The 19851-nt window shown below is 45.9% G+C and overlaps 1 protein-coding gene across 1 annotated transcript, besides 3 other annotated features; it reads right to left on the reverse strand.

Moving 5' to 3' along the window:
• Positions 1–8218: 8218 nt before the first annotated feature.
• Positions 8219–17169, reverse strand: OR6B3 (olfactory receptor family 6 subfamily B member 3). The gene is made up of 3 exons (NM_173351.2): positions 17108–17169; positions 10600–10708; positions 8219–9745 (listed from the first exon to the last, which is right to left on the reverse strand). The coding sequence occupies exon 3, from the start codon at positions 9718–9720 to the stop codon at positions 8725–8727; it is 996 nt and encodes a 331-aa protein (NP_775486.1). The 5' UTR covers positions 9721–9745; positions 10600–10708; positions 17108–17169; the 3' UTR covers positions 8219–8724.
• Positions 9434–10633: an enhancer, noted in NCBI's record as "CDK7 strongly-dependent group 2 enhancer chr2:240985203-240986402 (GRCh37/hg19 assembly coordinates)". NCBI's record gives its function as "activates an origin of replication core promoter dependent on BRD2, BRD4, P300/CBP, MED14 and CDK7 cofactors, with strong dependence on CDK7, by STARR-seq in HCT116 cells {active_cell/tissue: HCT116}" and the evidence as "EXISTENCE:reporter gene assay evidence [ECO:0000049][PMID:35650434]".
• Positions 18481–19123: an enhancer, noted in NCBI's record as "H3K4me1 hESC enhancer chr2:240994250-240994892 (GRCh37/hg19 assembly coordinates)". NCBI's record gives its function as "activates a minimal SCP1, AML or CMV promoter by ChIP-STARR-seq in naive H9 embryonic stem cells {active_cell/tissue: H9 hESC(naive)}" and the evidence as "EXISTENCE:reporter gene assay evidence [ECO:0000049][PMID:30033119]".
• Positions 19124–19764: an enhancer, noted in NCBI's record as "H3K4me1 hESC enhancer chr2:240994893-240995533 (GRCh37/hg19 assembly coordinates)". NCBI's record gives its function as "activates a minimal SCP1, AML or CMV promoter by ChIP-STARR-seq in naive H9 embryonic stem cells {active_cell/tissue: H9 hESC(naive)}" and the evidence as "EXISTENCE:reporter gene assay evidence [ECO:0000049][PMID:30033119]".

The following is a 19851-nucleotide window of genomic DNA, read 5'->3' on the forward strand; positions in this document are numbered from 1 at the left end:
TCTTGGTTCTTTTAATGTGATGTATTACATGTGCCAATTTGCGTATGGTGAACCATTCTTTCATCCCTGGGATCAATCCTACTGGATCATGGTGAATGATCATTTTAACGTGTTGAATTCAATTTACTAGTATTTTGTTGAGAATTTTTGCATTTGTGTTAATCAGGGATATTGACCTGTAGTTTTCTTTTCTTGTTGTGTGCTTGCCTGGTTTTGGTACAAGGGTAATGCTGGCCTCATGGAATGAGTTTGAAAGTATTCTCTCCTCTTCAATATTTTGAAGGTTTGAGTACCATTGTTATTAGTTTTTTAAATGCATGGTATAATTCATCGCTGAAGCTACTGGGTCCTGGGCTTTTCTTTGATGGGAGACCTTTTATTACATCTTCAATCTAGTTATTTTTTTATTGGTTTGTTAAGGTTTTCTATTTCTTCATAGTTTACTCTTGATAGGTTGTATGTGTCTAGGAATTTATCTATTTCTTCCAAGGTTTCTAACTTATTGGTGTATGGTTCTTCATACCAGTCTCTAATAATTCTTTGTATTTCTGTGGTCTCGGTTGTTGTTTCCTCTTTAGTTTGTGATTTTATTTATTTGGGTCTTCTCTCTTTTTTTCTTAGTCTAGCTAAAGACTTGTTATTTTGTTTATCTTTTCAATACACAACTTTTTGTTTAATTGATCTTCTGTATTATTTTTTAAGTCTCAATTTACTTTCTGCTCTGATCTTTATTATTTCTTTCCTTCCACCAGTTTTGGCTTTGGTTTGTTTTTGCTATTCTAGTTCCTTGATGTGTATCAGTAAGTTGTTTATTAGAAATCTTTCTACGTTTTTGAAATAGGCATTTATTGGTATAAAATTCCCTTTTGCTATATCCCATAGATTTTGGTATATTTTCATTTTTATTTGTTTCAATTATTTTTTAAATTTCCTTATTAATTTCTTCATTGATCCATTGGTTGTTCAGAAGCATGTTATTTAGTTTTCATGTGTTCGTGTATTTTCTGAGATTCCTCTTGTTATTGATTTCTAGTTTTATTCCATTATGATCAGAAAAGGTACTTGAAGTGATTTATACTTTTTTGAACTTGTTGAGATTTGTTTTATGGCTTAAGATGTGGCCTATTCTGGAGAATGTTCCATGTGCTGAAAAGAATATGTATTTCTGCAGCAGCTGGCTGATGTGTTCTATAAATGTCAGTTAGGCCTATTTGGTCCAGTGCATAGTTTAACTCCCACATTTCTTTGTTGATTTTCTGTCTGAATGATCTGTTCATTGCTGAAAGTGGAGTGTTGAAGTCCCCTGCTATCCCTTTAGATCTGTTTAATGTTTGCTTTATATACTTGGAAGCTTCAGTATTGGGTGCATAGCTATTTAAACTTGTTATATCCTCTTTCTGAATTGACCTCTTTATCATTATATAGTAACATTGTTTGTCTCTTTTTACAGTCTTTTATTTGTAGCCTATGTTATCTAAGTATGGCTACTACTGATATTTGTTTGTTTCTAGTTGCATCAAATATCTTTTTCCAACCCTTGACTTTCAGTTTGTGTCTTTATAGATGAAGTCAGTTTCTTGTAAGCAGCATATGGTTTAATCTTGTTTCCTCATCTATTTGGCCATTCTGTGCCTTGTAATTGGAAAATTGAGTGCATTTACATTCCATGTTATTATTGATAAGTAGAGACTTACTACTGCCATTTTGTTACTTGTTTTCTAGGTGTTTTGTAACTCCCATTTTCGTTTTTTTTTTTTTTTTAATGTCTTCCTTTGTGGCTAAGTGATTTTCTCTGGTAGTATGTTTAATTTATTGCTTTTTTAATTTTTAGTGAATCTCTTATAAACTTTTGCATTGTGGTTACCATGAAGCTACAAAAATATCTTATAGATATTGGATGTTTTATTATTTTAAAGAGATGAAGACTTATGTCACAAAGAATAGAAACAAACAAAGGAAAAATGAAAACCCTCTACACTAACTCCATCCCCCTCCACATTTTAACTTTATGTTGTTTCAATTTACAGATTTTTATATTGCCTATCTCTTAACAAGTCACTGTGGGTATTACTGTTTTTGATAGAGCTGTCTTTTGGGCCTCATACTCAAGTTATGAATGCATTGCACACCGCAATTACAGTATTATAGTATTCTGGATTTGTCCATGTATTTAATTTTACCAGTGAGGTCTATACCTTCACGTGCTTTCTTTCTGCACAGTAATGTTTTTTTCTTTTGGATTGAAGAACTACCTTTAGCGTTTCTTGTAGGATAGGTCTGATGGTGGCGAATTCTCTCAGCTTTTGTTTGTCTGGTAAAGACTTTATCTCCCCTTTATATTTGAAGGATATCTTTGCTGCATACAGTATTCTTGACTGACCTTTTTTTTTTCTTTTAGCACTTAGAAAATGTTATCCCACTTGCTCCTGACTTGTATGATTTCTGTTGAGAAGTCTGTTGCCAGACAAATTGGAATTCCTTTATAAATTATTTGCTTTTTTTCTCTTGCTACTTTTAGGATCCTCTCTTTGTCCTTGACCTTTGAGAGTTTGATTATTATATGCCTTGGCACAGTCTTATTTGGGTTGATTATGTTTGGTGTTCTTAGACTTTCTTGTACCTAGGTGTTTATCTCTTTCTCTAGTTTTGGGACGTTTTCTGTTATTATTTCTTTGAATAAGTTTTCTATTCCTTGCCCTTGCTCAACTCCTTCTTGAACATCAATAATTCTTAGGTTCAGGTTTTTGAAGTAATTTTCTGTATCTGGTATTGGGTGATCTTCATTCCTTTTTATTCATTGTTTTCTTTTTTCTCCTCTGACTCAGTGTTTTCAAATAACCTGTCTTCAAGCTCACTGATTCTTTCCTCTCCTTAATCCATTCATCTCTTGTGAGGCCCTAATGAATTTTTCAGTTCAGCAAAAGTATTTCTCAGTTCCAAGATTTCTGTTTGTTTGTTTTTTTATTGTTTCAATCTCTTGGTTACATTTCTCTGATACATTTCTGAATTGTTTTTCTGTGTTATCTTGGAGATCACTGAGTTTCCTTAAAACTGCAATTTTGCATTGTTGTTCAGAGAGTTCACATATCACTGTCTTGTTGGGGTCTGTCACTGGATCCTTGCTTTGTCCATTTAAGGAGGTCATGTTTTCTGTTTGCTGTTGTCTCCCATAGATGTGCATCTATAGTTTTTCACTGAAGGGTTAATTATTTATTCCAGTCTTCTCTGTCTGGCTTGTTTGGCTTTTATTAGATTTGTTTGCTTAGAGACTCCTTGTAATTTATCTATTGATTTTCTTTCTTCCCTCCCTGCCACCTCACTATGTTGCTGCTTTCTTTTCAACACTAGATGATTCCTTAAGCCCAGGTTTGCCTCAGCTCTAGTAAACAGTCAGAGTGCCAACCATCCCAAATGAGGGAGGCCCCAGAGGGAATATCCTGGTAGTGTGGGAAGGCTGGCTCACAGTTTGTGCCCAGGGAAGGTGTGGAACAAACCTCCTACAGCATGGTGCTGCTGAACTGCCACACTGATTTGACATCTTCTTTGGCTGAGTTACAGAACAGAGTCTCCAGAGCTGGGGTTGGTAGTCCTACCTTCCCGCTTTGTCTCTGCTGGCCTTAAGGCTGTTTTTCCCTTCAGGTGCTAGCAGTGCTAGCAGTGCTAGCAGCACTTCCTGTGGGTTGAGGCTGGGACAGATCTCCTGCCAGGAAACCTAAGAGAGTGAGGAAGCTGGTTGTCCACCTCAATCTCACTTTTTCCAGCGTAGAAACTGTGAGTCAGGGGGACATTTTCCGTGTCCTTTGTGCTGGGCAGTTTTGGGGAGAGGGATGTCGTGAATATGGAAGTCCAATTCTCTTACTGTCGGCTTGGAGTTTTTTTCACTTTTCTGTGGTTGCACGATCTTTTTCCTCCTCATATTTGAGTTCTTGGGTATTGCCGGTGATACTCTTGGTGCTATGTATTTGTTGTTCATTCTGTATGGGGGCAGGGGCAGGTGGAGAAGCCAGCTTCTATGCCATCATTAAAGAACTGGAATTCCCCCCCATGTGTCTCTTATAAGGATGCTCATCAATGCATTTAGGGCCCACCTGGATAATCCACACTGATCTCCCCATCTCCAGATCCTTAATTTAGTTACATCTGCAAAGACCCTTTTTCCAAATAAAGTTGTATTCACAGGTTCCAGAGATTTGACATAGACCTATATTTTGGGGCCATTTTTCAGCTGACTAGAGCTGATATATTTTTTTTTCCTTAGCATGTATGCCTGAATACCATTCTGAGTATTTTACCTATTTATTTTGTGTATTTCTCTCTCATCTAATAGATTGTAAACTGTATGAGGACTGAGATTTTTGTCGATTTTGTTCATCATTTACCTTGAGTGCCTAGATTAGTGTCTGGCACATAGTAGGTGCTTAGATGAATAAATGAGTAAATGAATGAATGACTCAGTTGGTTGTGACCAGAGAAGGGTATGGACAGAGAAGATGGAGTAATTTAACAGGAGACAAACCATGTCCCAGCCCAGCTGCCCGGGGAGGAAAATCAGCTCTCCACAGCCCTGAGAATGGCACCAGTAGCATCACTCTGAGCCTGTGCCTGGGTCCCTGGGCTGGCTACCCGGCCTAGAGCCCTTCCTCCAAATAAGGCAGGGACATGGGGTCTGACTCAGCAGGCCAAGTCGGGGTGGAGACCCAGATGATCAAATGCACATGAAGGAGGCAAACCCAAGGTCATGACACCCAGGAGACCCAGGAGGGAGGTCCTGACTGTGGATGGCAGGAAGTCTCAGCGCTCACTCTGTACCAACTGAGAGGGCGCCAGAGACTTAGAGGAGAGCAGTGGACTCTGGAAAGGACATGAGCTGGAGGTGGACAGTCAGTGGACAGTGGTGCTTCTGTGCAACAACGTGGGTGTCCAGCAGCAGCCTAGGGGTTGGCAGATGTGGAAGAGACAAGTGGGTTTTAATGGGGTGGACACAGGCTCTGCAAATGGATCCAAACTCAGTCAGAATGAGTACAGAAGAGGAAAAGCAACTTTTCCATAACTCAGATACAGATACAGGCAGATTTTAGACCTTCATCATTTCCCAGTGTTGGGACGTACAGTGGTGGCTGAAGCACCGCTGTGCAACCTTCCTGCCCAGACAGCTGCTCCAAGCCAACTGGGTTCCCAGGGGTCCGAGTGTCCCTTCCCCTGGCGAGTGAGAGCAGACCTGGGCGCCTGGGAGCCAGCAGGGAACTGTCTGGTCCAGAGGAGGAGTGGGCTTCAGGGCCCTGTGCAGCCTGAGGATGCACGACTGACTACAAAACAGTTTCTATATTAAAACCAGACTCACAAGGCCAATTCTAGAGTGGGCTGAAGCTTACAGTATGAGCTGAAGAAGCTTTTCTTGGTTGTCTCTGGTTCAAAAATGTGCAGAGGACTGAATGGATGCCAGAGTTGATAAAGATAGACTTAGTAAGAGATTATTAGAAAGTACATGTTAGAAACAAGAAGACAGGTGTTGAAGGTGGCCCTGGCAGACAGCAGCAAGACATTGCCCTGCTGTGAGAAGCCCACCAGGCAAGAGCTGTGGCTGAAGAGGCGTAGATGAAGAGACTTGGATGAAGAGGCATGGATGAAGGGCCGTGGGTGAAGAGACGTGGATGAAGAGGCATGGACGAAGGGCCGTGGGTGAAGAGGCATGGACGAAGGGCCGTGGGTGAAGAGGCATGGACGAAGGGCCGTGGGTGAAGAGGCATGGACGAAGGGCCGTGGGTGAAGAGGCATGGAGGAAGGGCCGTGGGTGAAGAGGCATGGACGAAGGGCCGTGGGTGAAGAGGCATGGAGGAAGGGCCGTGGGTGAAGAGGCATGGACGAAGGGCCGTGGGTGAAGAGGCATGGACGAAGGGCCGTGGGTGAAGAGGCATGGACGAAGGGCCGTGGGTGAAGAGGCATGGAGGAAGGGCCGTGGGTGAAGAGGCATGGAGGAAGGGCCGTGGGTGAAGAGGCATGGACGAAGGGCCGTGGGTGAAGAGGCATGGACGAAGGGCCGTGGGTGAAGAGGCATGGACGAAGGGCCGTGGGTGAAGAGGCATGGACGAAGGGCCGTGGGTGAAGAGGCATGGAGGAAGGGCCGTGGGTGAAGAGGCATGGAGGAAGGGCCGTGGGTGAAGAGGCATGGAGGAAGGGCCGTGGGTGAAGAGGCATGGAGGAAGGGCCGTGGGTGAAGAGGCATGGAGGAAGGGCCGTGGGTGAAGAGGCATGGACGAAGGGCCGTGGGTGAAGAGGCATGGACGAAGGGCCGTGGGTGAAGAGGCATGGACGAAGGGCCGTGGGTGAAGAGGCATGGACGAAGGGCCGTGGGTGAAGAGGCATGGATGAAGGACTGTGGGTGAAGAGCCGTGGATGAAGGGACATGGGTGAAGAGCCGTGGGTGAAGGGACATGGGTGAAGAGCCGTGGATGAAGGGCCGTGGGTGAAGAGCCGTGGATGAAGGGCCATGGGTGAAGAGCCGTGGATGAAGGGCCATGGGTGAAGAGCCGTGGATGAGCCGTGGGGGAAGAGCTGTTGAAGAAAAGTTGTGAATGAAAAGCCGTGGATGAAGGGCCGTGGATGAAGAGCTGTGGATGAACAGGCATGCATGTGGCCAAGGCACCACCAGGCTTCACTGGGAGCAAGCCAAACCCAAGCCCGATGCCCTCTCCTGCTCAACCCACTGAGAGGCAGGCTCTAAATTCCTGACCCCAAGTCAGCTTGATCCCTTAAATCAGACCCCACAAAGCCCTTTGCTACCCCATCCTGCCCTCCCATTAAATCCCATGTCTCCTCTGGCCTTGGAAGAACCTCTTCACCTGGATCTGATTTCTACCCATTTGATAGGAATTACCCCTTTGCCTACTGTAAGATCAGGTGCGATCAGTTCCGACTCTCTGGGGGCCTCTGTGGCAGTTACAGCCCAAACCCACTCCCTCAGCCTTCAACAGCCTTCACTCATCTGCACATCCTCCTTCAGCTCTGGCGTCTACTCGGTCCCTAACAGGTATCTGGATGCATTCCTCAGTTCCTTCCTATTCCCACTCTAACCCCAAATGCTGATTTGAACACTTACATAGCTCTCAAATGGGCCCGGCCACTGCATCCAAATCCTGCATCCACTGCTCAACCCAGGGTAGTGCTCATCCCTCACGTGCACAATCCCAGCAGCCTCCCTCACAGCCTCCTTGCCTCCCACGGGGTCCCCTCTCCATCTGTCACACACCTGCCAAATAGACGGTCCAAGGCAGGAAACTGAACGTACCTCTACCCCCACCTTAATTGCCAGACGAGTCCATGCTGCCTGCCACACCTGTGAGCCCTCGGGTCCTGATCTGCCTGCCACGCCTGGGAGCTCTCGGGTCCTGACCTGCCCGCCACGCCTGGGAGCTCTCGGGTCCTGATCTGCCCGCCACACCTGTTAGCTCTGGGGGTCCTGATCCGCCTGCCATGCAGGAAGCTCTCGGGGCTCTGATCTGCCTGCCACGCCTGGGAGCTCTGGGGGTCCTGATCTGCCCACCATGCCTGGGAGCTCTCGGGTCCTGATCTGCCCGCCACACCTGGGAGCTCTCGGGGCTCTGATGTTACCCACCATACATGTGAGCTCTTGGGGCTCTGTCCTCTTTTTGTCTCAAGTCTCCCCTTTGGTGAACACCAGGCTCCTATGAGGCTGCGTCTTTGAGCTCTGCACAGCTCCATGCTGCTTCCTGCCTCTGAGGCTTTGCTATCATTGAAATTGCCTGGAACACCCTTCCTTTTCCACCCTTTAAATTGAATAACCTCTATTCCTGTTTTAAGGTGTAGATATCATGCCATCCAGGTGGCCCTCTTCCACTCCTCCCTGCAGCCCCCACCTGGGTTTGCTTTCTCTCTTCTTGCACTGTTGATCCCCTACACGTCCCACCCAGCCCATACCCAGCCTCTTTCTCCTGCATGCCCATCGGGCACCAGATGCTCTGCTGGGCTGCCAGGTCCAACAGTGAATAGGACAGAGGTGGCCCTGCCTGCCTGGGCATCTGTGTGTATTTAGGTGCTGGGCTGCCAGGTCCAACAGTGAATAGGACAGAGGTGGCCCTGCCTGCCTGGGCATCTGTGTGTATTTAGGTGCTGGGCTGCCAGGTCCAACAGTGAATAGGACAGAGGTGGCCCTGCCTGCCTGGGCATCTGCGTATATTTAGGTTCAATCAGAATCGACTCATGCAATAATAAAACAATTTTTATTTTCTCAGCAGCTGACTGGGCATGCAGTAGGGGTTTATTTAGGAAAAAGGCAGAGGGGGCATCCACCCAAGACAATCAGAGAACATTCGTTGGGTATAAAACAGAAGGCTACATGCCCTTACTTTTCCCAGACACATTTTGCTTCAGGGACACCTGGAGCTCATTTTGCCACATGGTTAAATATTTAGTACTTTAACACACCGCAATTTATTGGGGACTTTAAAATCTCAGATGATCTGGCATGTTTTGCTGCTTTCTGAAATGTGCATGGTAATTTTAAAGGCGAGGAAAATTCATTAAGCTTTACTAACTACAGCTTTGCTCATCTACAAAAACAAGAAAGTACTGGTATTACAACACCAACAACAATACCTATGCTATTAACCTCAACCTCAGTTTTTTTCCTGAAGGAGAAAAATAGATTTGGAAGTAATTTTTAAATAAATGCGGTACTACAATAATGCAAACAGTCAAATGGCCTCCTCAGAGAGGCTGGCTGTGTATTTGGAGATGAAGTTCCAGAAGACTAGAAAGCCTCCCCTCTACGGCGCAGCTCGTCAAGCCGAAGGCTTTTTTCAAGGCATTCTTAAATTCCTTATTCCTCAGGCAGTATATCAAGGGGTTCAAGATGGGGGTGATAACTGTGTACAAAACAGAGATGAGCTTGTTGGAGCTCCGGGAATCAATGGCCTGGGGCCGGACATACATGAAAAGCAAGGCTGTATAGAAGACGGTGACCACGGTGAGGTGAGAGGCGCAGGTGAAGAAGGCTCTCCAGCAGCCGGTGGCCGAGGGGATGCGCAGGACAGCCAGGGTGATGTGCGCATATGACAGCATGGTGGCCAGGAGTGGAAACACCAGGATGATGAAGGCCAGAATGAAATCCACCAGCTCTGCAGTGGAGAAGTCCGTGCAGGCCAGCTTGAGGATGGGGGAAATGTCACAGAAGAAGTGGTTCAAGACGTTGGAGCCACAGAACGTGACGCTGGAGATAAAACAGACCTTGATCATGGAGATGGTGAAGCCACTCACAAAGGAGAAGCCCACCAGCTGGAGGCACAGCCCCGGGGTCACAAGGACGTGGTAGCGCAGCGGGTGGCAGATGGCCACGTAGCGGTCGTAGGCCATGGAGGCCAGAAGCACACACTCGGTGCACACCAGGGAGCTGAAGAAGTAGAGCTGCGTCATGCACCCGACGAAAGAGATGCGTTTCTGCTGGAGGAGGAAGCCCTCCAGCATCTTGGGGGTGATGTCAGACACGTACCAGATCTCTAGGAAAGACATGGAGCTCAGAAAGTAGTACATGGGCCTGTGGAGGGAGGTGCTGCTCCAGACGGTGAGGATGATGGCCAGGTTCTCCACCAGGACAAAGAGGTAGGTGAGCAGGAAGAGGAGGAAGAGCAGGTACTGCAGCCCTGGGGCCGTGGGGAAGCCCACCAGGATGAAGGTGCCGACCCTGGTGACATTCTCCCCACTCATGCCTCTGTGCTTGGGAGCTGCAGGCCTACAAAACATCAAAGAGCAAGAGGAAAGGGCTGCAGGGAAGCTGGGGCAGAGGGAGAGTGGAGCTGGACCTGGATAGGGAGTTTTGGTGTAAAGAGAGGCCACGTGGCTCCCCAGAGCACCAGTGGGGAGCAAAAGCAGCTCCCCACCCAGATACATGTTAAGCACTAACCTCTGATGATATAGATTCTAGGTCTCAGCCTGTAACACTGGGTCTGGAATGCCCTCCTGAGCCTGTCACCACCAGTCTCCCTCATCTCTCAAAGCTGTGTCCTATTTTTCACCACCTGGACTTCTCCAAGGGACCCAATAACCATGAAGGGCATCCACAGGGTGTCCGGTGTCCTCCAGGGGATGAGCCCTGACTGCCCCAGGCTTCTGGATGTATTGTTTGAGTCTGACGCATTCTTTCTAAATTGGTAGATATATGACCTGTTACCTGGTTTTAGGGTTGATTTTACAGGAGGAAGTGACACCATGGCAGGGGTGAGGCCCAGGTCCAACTTGGCCAGATCCCAGACTCAGGCACATCCACAGCAGCAGCCGGAGCCTCCCAGGCCAAGAAGGGAAAGTGGTCACATCCTTATCCCTGTCAATCTGAGGGGAATATCAGCAAGGGAGAGATTGCAATGCAATCCCAGAAGAGAGAAAACAGATGGCAGCAGAGAGGAGGAAGTCTAGAACGTTCTCGAGGGGCCTGTGGCTGAGGGAGGAGTCGTCCACCCACACCTGAGTGTGTATTTTTATATAAAACACATCCATTAATCCTCACTACAGTCCTGGGAAAAAGAAGGCTTACATCTCTAAGTTGAGATGGAAAGTCTGAGACCCAAAAAGAAAGGTTCATGGACTTACCCAGGGCCGGGGCAGCACCAGGACACAGACTGGAATCTTCTAACACCAAGGCCGCTGCCCTTCCAATGCGGTTTCCACAACAGAAGCAGTGAACCCATGTGGACATAGGCTAGAACATTTGAATTATAAAGATGTGTAGATTCAGTTGTTGGTTGCCCTGTGACACTACACTAACAGGCAATGAAAACAAAAAGTCACAAAATAAATAGTATTATTCAGAAAAAAGGCAGAGAAGACCCCTTCAGAAGGAAATACAGGGATATAGGGCATAGGTTGGTTGAACGAACCTAAAGCAAATATTTAAATTAATAAGCAAAAGACTTGGAAGCCACCGTATTGTTCATTAATAAGGGATGGGCTAAGTAAGTTTTGTCACATCCCTATTATGAACACTATGTGGTCACTGAAAAGAAGGGGCAGGTCCGTCTGTAGATATGGAATGGTTTCCAAGGTCTGTAGCCACAGTTTTAAAGGTTTGAAACAGCACTGATCGTATGCCTCCGCTCATACAAGTAAAAGTATGTAAATAGGGCAGACGACCCGTGAAGGTACAAGGTGGTGGGGACACTCACTGTCCTGAGGGGCAGAGCAGGTCACTGGAACACAGATGGCAGGGAAATGTTTTTATGGCAACCCTTTTTCTGTGTTTTGAATTTTGTTTCACGTGAGTATATTATTTATTCAAAATAGTGATCCATTACTTATTTTTAAATTACTACATTCTCCTTTAAAAAGAAAAAGTTATGCACTGGATTAAAAATTCAATAAGTCAACATTTTCCCAGGCCATAATTCCAAATCTATACTGAAAAACACACATAGATTAAATGACTGAATGAGAATAAAGTGTATTGTGCAGTGTATCGTGTGCCTTTAAAAATGACAAAAGTTTCAATTATGATATTGCACAGATATCAAAATTAATGAAAACAGAGGATGGATCAGAAACGACAGAATAATATCAACAGCAGTTTGCTTCCCCAAATAGCAGAGAAATTGAAATACAGAAAAGAAAACCGAAAATAAAGATGAAATAGAAATATATTGATGGCATCTGTTAGAGCATGAATAAGTAGGTAAATGATTAAGAATATAAATAAGTAATATGAATTCAACAGATCTTTAAAGAAAACACACAGGAAATGTAGGGAGTTGTTAAAACACCTGGTTCGTGTTGGCATGCAGTATTCGTTCCATAAATGGTAGCAATATTGTGCATAGGAGTTACATTAATGAAATCTAATAAAACAGCTTTCTTTCAAGTACACCGATTAAACACAAAATGAGTTTAAACCACAGTAGTATACGTCGTAGAACTGTGTAAAGTGGAGTCCCTGGCCCTTTGCTCACATCCTTTCTTGCACCTGGAATGCCCCCCAGCCCCGTCCCCACTCTGGCTGCTTCTGCTGTGGCCGTCCTCTGGGCTCCCATCAACCCACACCTACCCCCATCTCCGCACTGTCTCTCCTGGTTGCACTTGCTGTGTTCATGAGGGAGGAGGGATGTGGGCTGGGTACGAGCCGGCTGCAGGGCTGGTGGAAGCTCTCTATTTGGGAGGTGCTTGTGAAGCACCTCTTGCTGCGCACCCACTGGGCCGCATGCTCCTGAGGACAGGAGCTATGCCTCTCTCACTACTGACCAAGGCACCAAGAGCACTTCCTACCATGCAGTAGAAACTCCACAAGCCGTAGGGGAATGAGTGTCGATGGGAAAGGTAAAGGAGTGACAGGGGTCTGCCCAAACTAACACGGTGCAGCAAAAGCTGGCAGACTGGGTGATGGCACGTGTTTCTTTTCACCACCACAACCACCTGCCCCCTCTTCTCTCTCCTCTTAGTCCTTAAATCCCGGATCTTTAAAGAAAAGGAGAAATTACGTATAAAATGTACAACTAGAGGGCTACCCTCATGACACAAAAAGCTAGTGAAGAAAGGCGGCCCAGAGCCAAGAGTCTTTGAGGATGTTACCACCGTCCTGCCCATGGGAGGGAAGAAGGTGTCCAGAAAGCCTCACCAGGGTGCCCAGAGAGCTCTGTGGCCCAGGGGACATGGATGGTGGGAGTCTGGATCTCACAGTTCTCTGGGTCAGCAGGGAGGAGGGCTGAGGGCTAGGTGTGAGTGGGCTGTATGGCTGATGGAAACTATTTGGAAGTCCTTTTATGGCTACAAATCAGCAAAATTTAAGAAGGGCAGAGGCAACTGGCTGGGCCGCTTGGTGGCTGTAAACAGACTAAGGATAGCAGGATTATCACCAGGTACCAGGGAGATCATGGCTAGTTTAGGAACTTCAAGGAAAAAGAACCCTAAAGGCATCCAGCCAGAATAAAATAAGTTATATTTTTTTGTACATAAAATAGAAGATCTGTTGAGTTAGCTTTAGTTTTCATCAAAAACTTGAGTCCAGAAAACAGCAGAGAAACTTCTAGCGAGGGCTGGAGGGTATGAAACTCGAATGTTGTGTCCAGACCTGGAATTATTCATGCCTGAGGGTAGCAGAGAGGCAGCCTGCACAAGCACCTGGTCTGAATGTAGGAGTTTTAAACTCTTCCTCAATAAGAAACTCAAAATGTCACAGGTATTAACCTGAGATATAATAACAATCCCCGATCAAGACTTTCACAGCGTAAAAACATGGGCAGTGAAGAAACACACATTCAGACACAGCGTATCCAGTTCTAGCAAATGTTGTCCGGATAGCTACAAAACAAAATGCAAACGTCTCTCCTTGTTAATCGAAATAATATATAATGAAAAATAGTAATTGTTTGGAAAAAAAGAGAAACTGGGCTTAAATACAGTTAAAGCCAGTAACTAGATTTAAACCAGTTACTCTTCTTTTTCCAAACAATTACTGATTATCTAATTGTTTTTCCAAGAGGAAAACCTTGGGAAAGGATAAGATTGTAATAAGAAAAAAAGTGTGTTTTGCCTCATTTTCAGATGAGATAATCAAAAGGGTATGTTATATTCCTGGAGTTTATTGTTAGAGTAATATGAGTCCTTAAAAATTTTAATAGTAAATCATGGTTTTTAAAAGGATATAGATCCTATAAATCTTGAAAGAACAAAAAATATAGAAATAAAGGAAATCATAAGAAAGCACCCCAAACTAACTACAACAATGACTGGAGTAAAAAAAAAAAATCAGTTGTGACAATAAATGTATGTAGGATAAACTCACCTGGTAAAAGGAAAAAATGCCCAAGTCATAGAAAAAAAATCTATTGTATTAGGTTGGTGCAAAAGTAATTGCGGTTATATGCCAAGATGCACGACAAAAAACTTCAACTCAGGTTGAAATGACAACCGTAGGCTCAGATGTATAATCAAACAAAAAGAAAGCATGACTGCAGAATTAACATTTGATCAAGTAAAATTTCAGACCCCAAATGGTCTGTTTCACTTATAAACCTTTTAGTGAATAATATATCCTCAACACGGAGTCAGCAAAAACCTGACTTTAGTATCAGAAGAAATGGACAGGGGCCGGGCGCAGTGGCTCATGCCTGTAATCCCAGCCCTTTGGGAGGCCGAGGCGGGCAGATCACCTGAGGTCAGGCGTTCAAGACTAGCCTGGCCAACGTGGCGAAACCTGTCTCTACTAAAAATACAAAACTTAGCCTGGCGTCATGGCAGGCACCTGTAATCCCAGCTACTCCAAAGTCTGAGGTATGAGAATCACTTGAACCCGGGAGACGGAGGTTGCAGTGGGCGGAGATGGCATCACTGCACTCTAGCCTGGGTGACAGAGTAAGACTCCGTCTCAAAGAGACAAAAAAAAAAAAAAAAGGAAAAAAAAAAAAGAGACAAATAAAGTAGCAGCAGCAGACTCTAGTACATGCCTCTCACTGCTTGACAGATCTCAAAGGTAAAAACAAATTAGAATGCCAAGTATTGGAATTAGAATAGTAAAATTTTTGAAATGTTGATTTGAGGGATAATAAACTCACAACCCTGAGAAAATATACACTTTTGTTTAGAAAATGTGGAGAAATCATCGGCAATGGCATCAAAAAATGTTCAATCTGTCTCCAAAGCAGAATCACAGATAACACATTTCCCTAAAAACAATGGCATAAAAATCATTTTTTATGAATTAGAAAAAATAATAGAATTGATCGATAGCAGCAAAAACTTGTTCTGAAGTAGGCTTAGAGTTGAGGACAGTAAAACAGATGAAACAGGAAAATATGAGCATGCAACGCAATTTCAGAGACTAAAAAAAGAGTAAACTGCAGGTGGAGACCCACCAAATGACAGGGGAAGGGTTGGCGCTATTTACCAAGCACCTAATATGTGTTTTATTCAGTGGTCCTCTTCCAGCTTCAGTTTACAGATGACAAGGAAGACTGGGGGCTTAGAAGATGATTAAAAGCAATCATAGAAGAGTGACTGTTAAAGGCAAGAAAAAGGTCTATTTTTGAGAAAACTGAGTGAAGACAGAAAGCTCAACAGCATCATGATGTTAAAATTGCTTCAGAGAAAACCGACAGGCCCAGATACTTTGCCTGTGCCCAGCTTCTAGCTATGCCAGGAGCAGATCTTTCCTACATTAGGTAAACCCTTAGAGAGCATGGGAAAGTCCCAATTCATTTTACAAAATAGCAAATTCCTGATACGAAAGCCTGATGAAGATTTCAGGGAAGAAAAACTATGTATCGATTATTTTTTTCTTTTTTACTATACTTAAAAAACTCAAATAAAATGTCAGCAATTAGGACCCAGCAGCACTTTAAAAGAGCTCACGTGGCACTAGCGTGATTATTTCAGCGGTGCAAAGAGACTTCGAGGTTAGCAAATCTGCTGAAAGGATCACATTTGAAGTCTAGCTAATGCTAAAAGGCTTTGATTAAAAACTCTCCCAAAACTTTCATGCATCTGTCATCCCCAAAGAAGTGATTTTTCCTAACATGATAAATAATACCAGCCTCAACCAACAGCCTACAGCATCCCCACAGCTAAATACCAGGATCATTCCTGCTCCACCAAGGTCAGGATTAAGACAGGGCTCTTTGTTGTAACTACTGCTACGTAACAATGTGCCATTGTACTAGCTACCACAGAACAGAATAAAGAAGTAGACAAAATTATCATTATTTCCAGATGGCAGGACTTTTAAGCTGAAAAATCTGCTACACTATTATAATTAAGGGATTTCAAAATGAATATCAAAAATGTAGTCTTCCTGTATACCAACAATGACTAATTAGAATATTCTTAGATTCAAAAAAGTATATTGTAAAAATGTCAGTATCTCCAAATCAATTTTGAAATTTAACTCAATTCTATTTGAAATCTCACCAAATTATATTTTTCTTGAAACAGGATGAAATAATTCTTGAAATCATCTGGAAATATAAACAGATGAGAATAGCTAAAATAATTCAGGAAGAAGAAAAGAGAAGCAGGTTAATGAAGAGGCGTTTCTATTTTGGATAGAAAAACTACAATAAAAATAAAATAATAATTTAATAAAATAAATACTAAAGATAACGAGCACCACCATAAAGTCAATGGAACAGCATAGAGAAAGTATAGAAAGCCCTACATCAGAGCTGAGGATTTCTGTGATACTATTAGCAAGGAAAGCCTGGATTGTGTTAAACATGATGTCAGGATAGTTCATTAAACCCATGCTAAAAACCAACCGGGTCTGTTCTTCATATGTTACATCAGAAAGTGCATTTCAGATGGACAGAGCCTGCGATGCCTGCCGGTCCTCCAGCCTCTCCTAAGCTGCTGTTCTGTGGACACGACAGGGTAGAGCCCAAGCTGGAAGCCCGTGGGCCCGACACGCATAGCCTGCTCGTTGATTTCCTTTCAGCACTGATTTTTAAAGAATAATCCAATTAAAGATTATTTGTGACTTTTCTTTTTTTTTGAGACAGAGTCTCACTCTGTTGCCCAGGCTGGAGTGCAGTGGCATGATCTCGGCTCACCGCAACCTCCGCCTGCTGGGTTCAAGCGATTCTCCCACCTCAGCCTCCCGTGTAGCTGGGATTACAGGTGCCCAGCTCATTTTTGTGTCTGTTTTAGTAGAGACGGGATTTCGCCATGTTGGCCAGGCTGGTCTCGAACTCTTGACTTCCGGTGATCCGCCCACCTCAGCCTGCCAAAGTGCTGGAATTACAGGCATGAGCCACCGCTTCTTAAACATAAATAGGGAGACAGATTTTATGGTGGGGCAGACCGAGAATTCCAGTGGCTTCTGAGCACCTCTCAAGCCAGTTCCTCACACGCCTGTATATTGGGTATATTGGGATGTCATTTATCCTGCACGTTTCAGAAGGACAATTCTCTAAAACTTTCACTTTGACCTTTGTTTTTGAAAATCAGAACATTTCACACAGAGGCACCAATATCTGGTTTCTTTTGAAAAGCTGGAAGATCTGAGGCAACACCGTTCAAGGTCCTGCACTCACAATGCACCCTGTGGACAGTGCAAGATGCACCCTGCTCGCAGCATGGCCCCTCTCTCTGGGAGCACCTGCCCCGTCTGCCCACTGCTTACCTGATTGCAGCTGCAGGGCAGGGCGCGAGGCAGGCAATGATGTGTCTCTGCTCCTACTCAGATACCTCTGGGTCCCCATGTCCCCTGTCTTCTTGGGGTGCACATTCCCACGAATGCCTCTGATGAGGTCTCTTCCTCCCATACATAAAGACTCACAGGCAGTTATACTCCCTCCTCCCACTGCCATGCGGCTTCTGTCGCTGTGCACCTCGGGGACTAGCTGTCCCCAGAAGCCAGCGACGTTCTGCTCATTTCTGGGCCCACATTTTGGCTCTTGTTCTGCTCCCCTTTCCTTCAGTGTCTGGCGCTGTGGCCCCAGCCTTCCGTCCCCACCGTCCACACTCAGAACAATGTACCCGCCCCTGCGGTTCCTGTAGTCACTTCCAGCTGACGACTCCCAGGCTGCCCCGATCCCTCTGCAGAACTAACTCCTGTGTCCAGCCAATGACTCAAGACCTCCCCTGGCCATGGAGCCCCTGCCCCTGTGCTCTTCCTCTCAGGGAGTGGTGCGGCTGCCCACGCCCCCCGGATGCCCCACTGAGCTCCCGTGTGGACCCTTCCCCTCCCCTCCCTCCACACCCGAGCACGCCTGAGTCCTTCTGCCCCACATCTTAAATGCCTCCAGAATCAGGTCTGCTGTCTCCACGTTCATGGGCTGCCATCCACCCTGTCCTTGTTCAGGTTCCGTCCCTCCCAGGCTGGATTATTGTCACCGCTCTCTCACTGGTCTTCCTCCAGTCTCTCCTGACTCTGTCTGATCCATCATCCCAGTAGCAGGGAATGACATTCAGGGAATGACACGCAGACCTCTCTCCTGGCCACGTCCATTGCATGTTCTTAGCATAAGCCCCTTGCTCCTGAGTCAGCCTCTCTATGGCCTCACTGCCTCTCTTGCTCCTGCCCCTCCTGGAATCCCTGGCTGCTGCAGGAGGCACCTCTTCAGTGCCATGAGAGCACCGTGCTGATTCAGTCCCCACTGCTGCCCTGCCAGTTGCCCTTCAGGACTTGCCTCAGACGTAGCTTCTTCCTGATGGGCTCACTTGAGCTCCCGATGCTACTGTTAGCTGCTCCCAGAGATGAGGAATTTCAGGGTGCCTCCAGGCTTCTGCTTTCATTAGGGTTTCCCTGCAGAGGGGGAAAGTGCACTTGAGGAGAGAGAGGAAGATGAGGGGCTTAGTTTGGGGCATGCTGGGCTTGCAGCGCCTATGGGACACCCTGTAGAGAGCTCCAGGAGTACCCCTGACATCCAGAACGCCCACCAGAGACTGAGGTCAGATGTCAAGATGTGTAGGGGGTCGGTCCAAGGTTTATTAAGTGTCTAATATGTGCCAGTCATTGTTTCAGGCAATTGAGATAAATCAGGAGAAAAAAACAGTCCCAAACTCTTGCCTTCATGAAATGTAAATTCTAGTGAAGGCAGGAAATAAGTCAGAAAAATAAATAATACCCATGATATGTAAGGAAATTATTTAGAGTGTGGAAGGTGGTGAGTGGATGGGAACAGAAGGTCAGGGTGGGCTGGGGGGTGGTGGTGGGGATGTGCCAGAGAGGAGGCGACACCAGGGCAGAGTCTCAAAGAAGATGTGAGTTAGCCTGTGGCTGTCTGTCGGACACACGTAGGTGGAGAGAAAATGAGGTGCAAAGGCTGCAGGCTGGGGAGTGCAAGAAGGGGGTCAGGGGGTTGGGGCAAGGCTGGCTGCAGCAGAGTGATAGGGAGTGGCAGGAGACAGTGACAACCAAGAGCAGAAGGAGCCCACTCAGAGCCTGAGGTGGTGAGGACCATGGTGAGGACGTTGGCTTTCACTCTGACGGCAGTGGCATGGCACCACCCACACTGTAAATGGCTGACTCTGACCACTGCATTGAGATCGGGCTGGAGGAGTCAGGTGAGGAGGGGGAGCCCGTGCAGAGACCCTGAGGTCATCAGGGAAAAGGCTGCAGGAGCGCAGGCCAGGGCAGGAGGCGTGGGAAGGGCAAACCTGTCCGGTGTGTGCTGAAGGCAGCCTCAACGAGGCTTTCTGGCTGGGTCCCTGAGAATCAAAAGTGACACCAGGAAGTCAATCTGTGCTGCCTGCAGGGATGTGAATGAGATTGACCAAGGAAAATATGAAGACTAAGAGGGCAAGAATAAAAGTTGAGAAGCCTCCCCCTCTAGAAGCAGGAAGAGGAGGAAGAGGGGCTGGTGAAGGTGGTGGGAGACGTGGGGAGACACTCGGGGACGTGTGGCCCAAGCCAGGACACGGTGGCTCCTCCAAGAGGAGGGAGCATGATTGGCAGGTAGGAGGCCATTGGTAACGGCAGAGGGAAAACATATCAGGGAGGGTTTGGGGGCAGAAGCTCAATGTTAATGGGGCAGGCAGAATTGGAAAGGAAGTGGCACAGAGCTAGCAGGAGCAGATGCCTCTCAGGAGGAAGGAAAACAGTGATACAATTTGGTGTACTTTCACAGTTTACCATTTCCCAAAACATTTCATCCTTTTACTTCTGGTGTCTTGAAGTGTAAGTAGGTATTTTACTTGAAAGCTTTTCTGAACCCAGTTCTGTGGAGTTAATATCACAATGGAAAGTATAAACACCAAACAAGAGTCCTCCAGAATGTGTTTCTGGGGAAGATCTGTCCCCGGGGAGGATGCCTGGAACGCATGCTTCTGAGCTGCAGTGGAGATGAGCGTGCGGCTGGAGGGGACACGGCAGCAAGGTCTAGGGGGTGGAGGGTCTTAGAAACCTACGTCTTCCTGCCCATC

Source organism: Homo sapiens, chromosome 2 (assembly GCF_000001405.40).
Source record: "Homo sapiens chromosome 2, GRCh38.p14 Primary Assembly".
Classification (NCBI taxonomy): domain Eukaryota; kingdom Metazoa; phylum Chordata; class Mammalia; order Primates; family Hominidae; genus Homo; species Homo sapiens.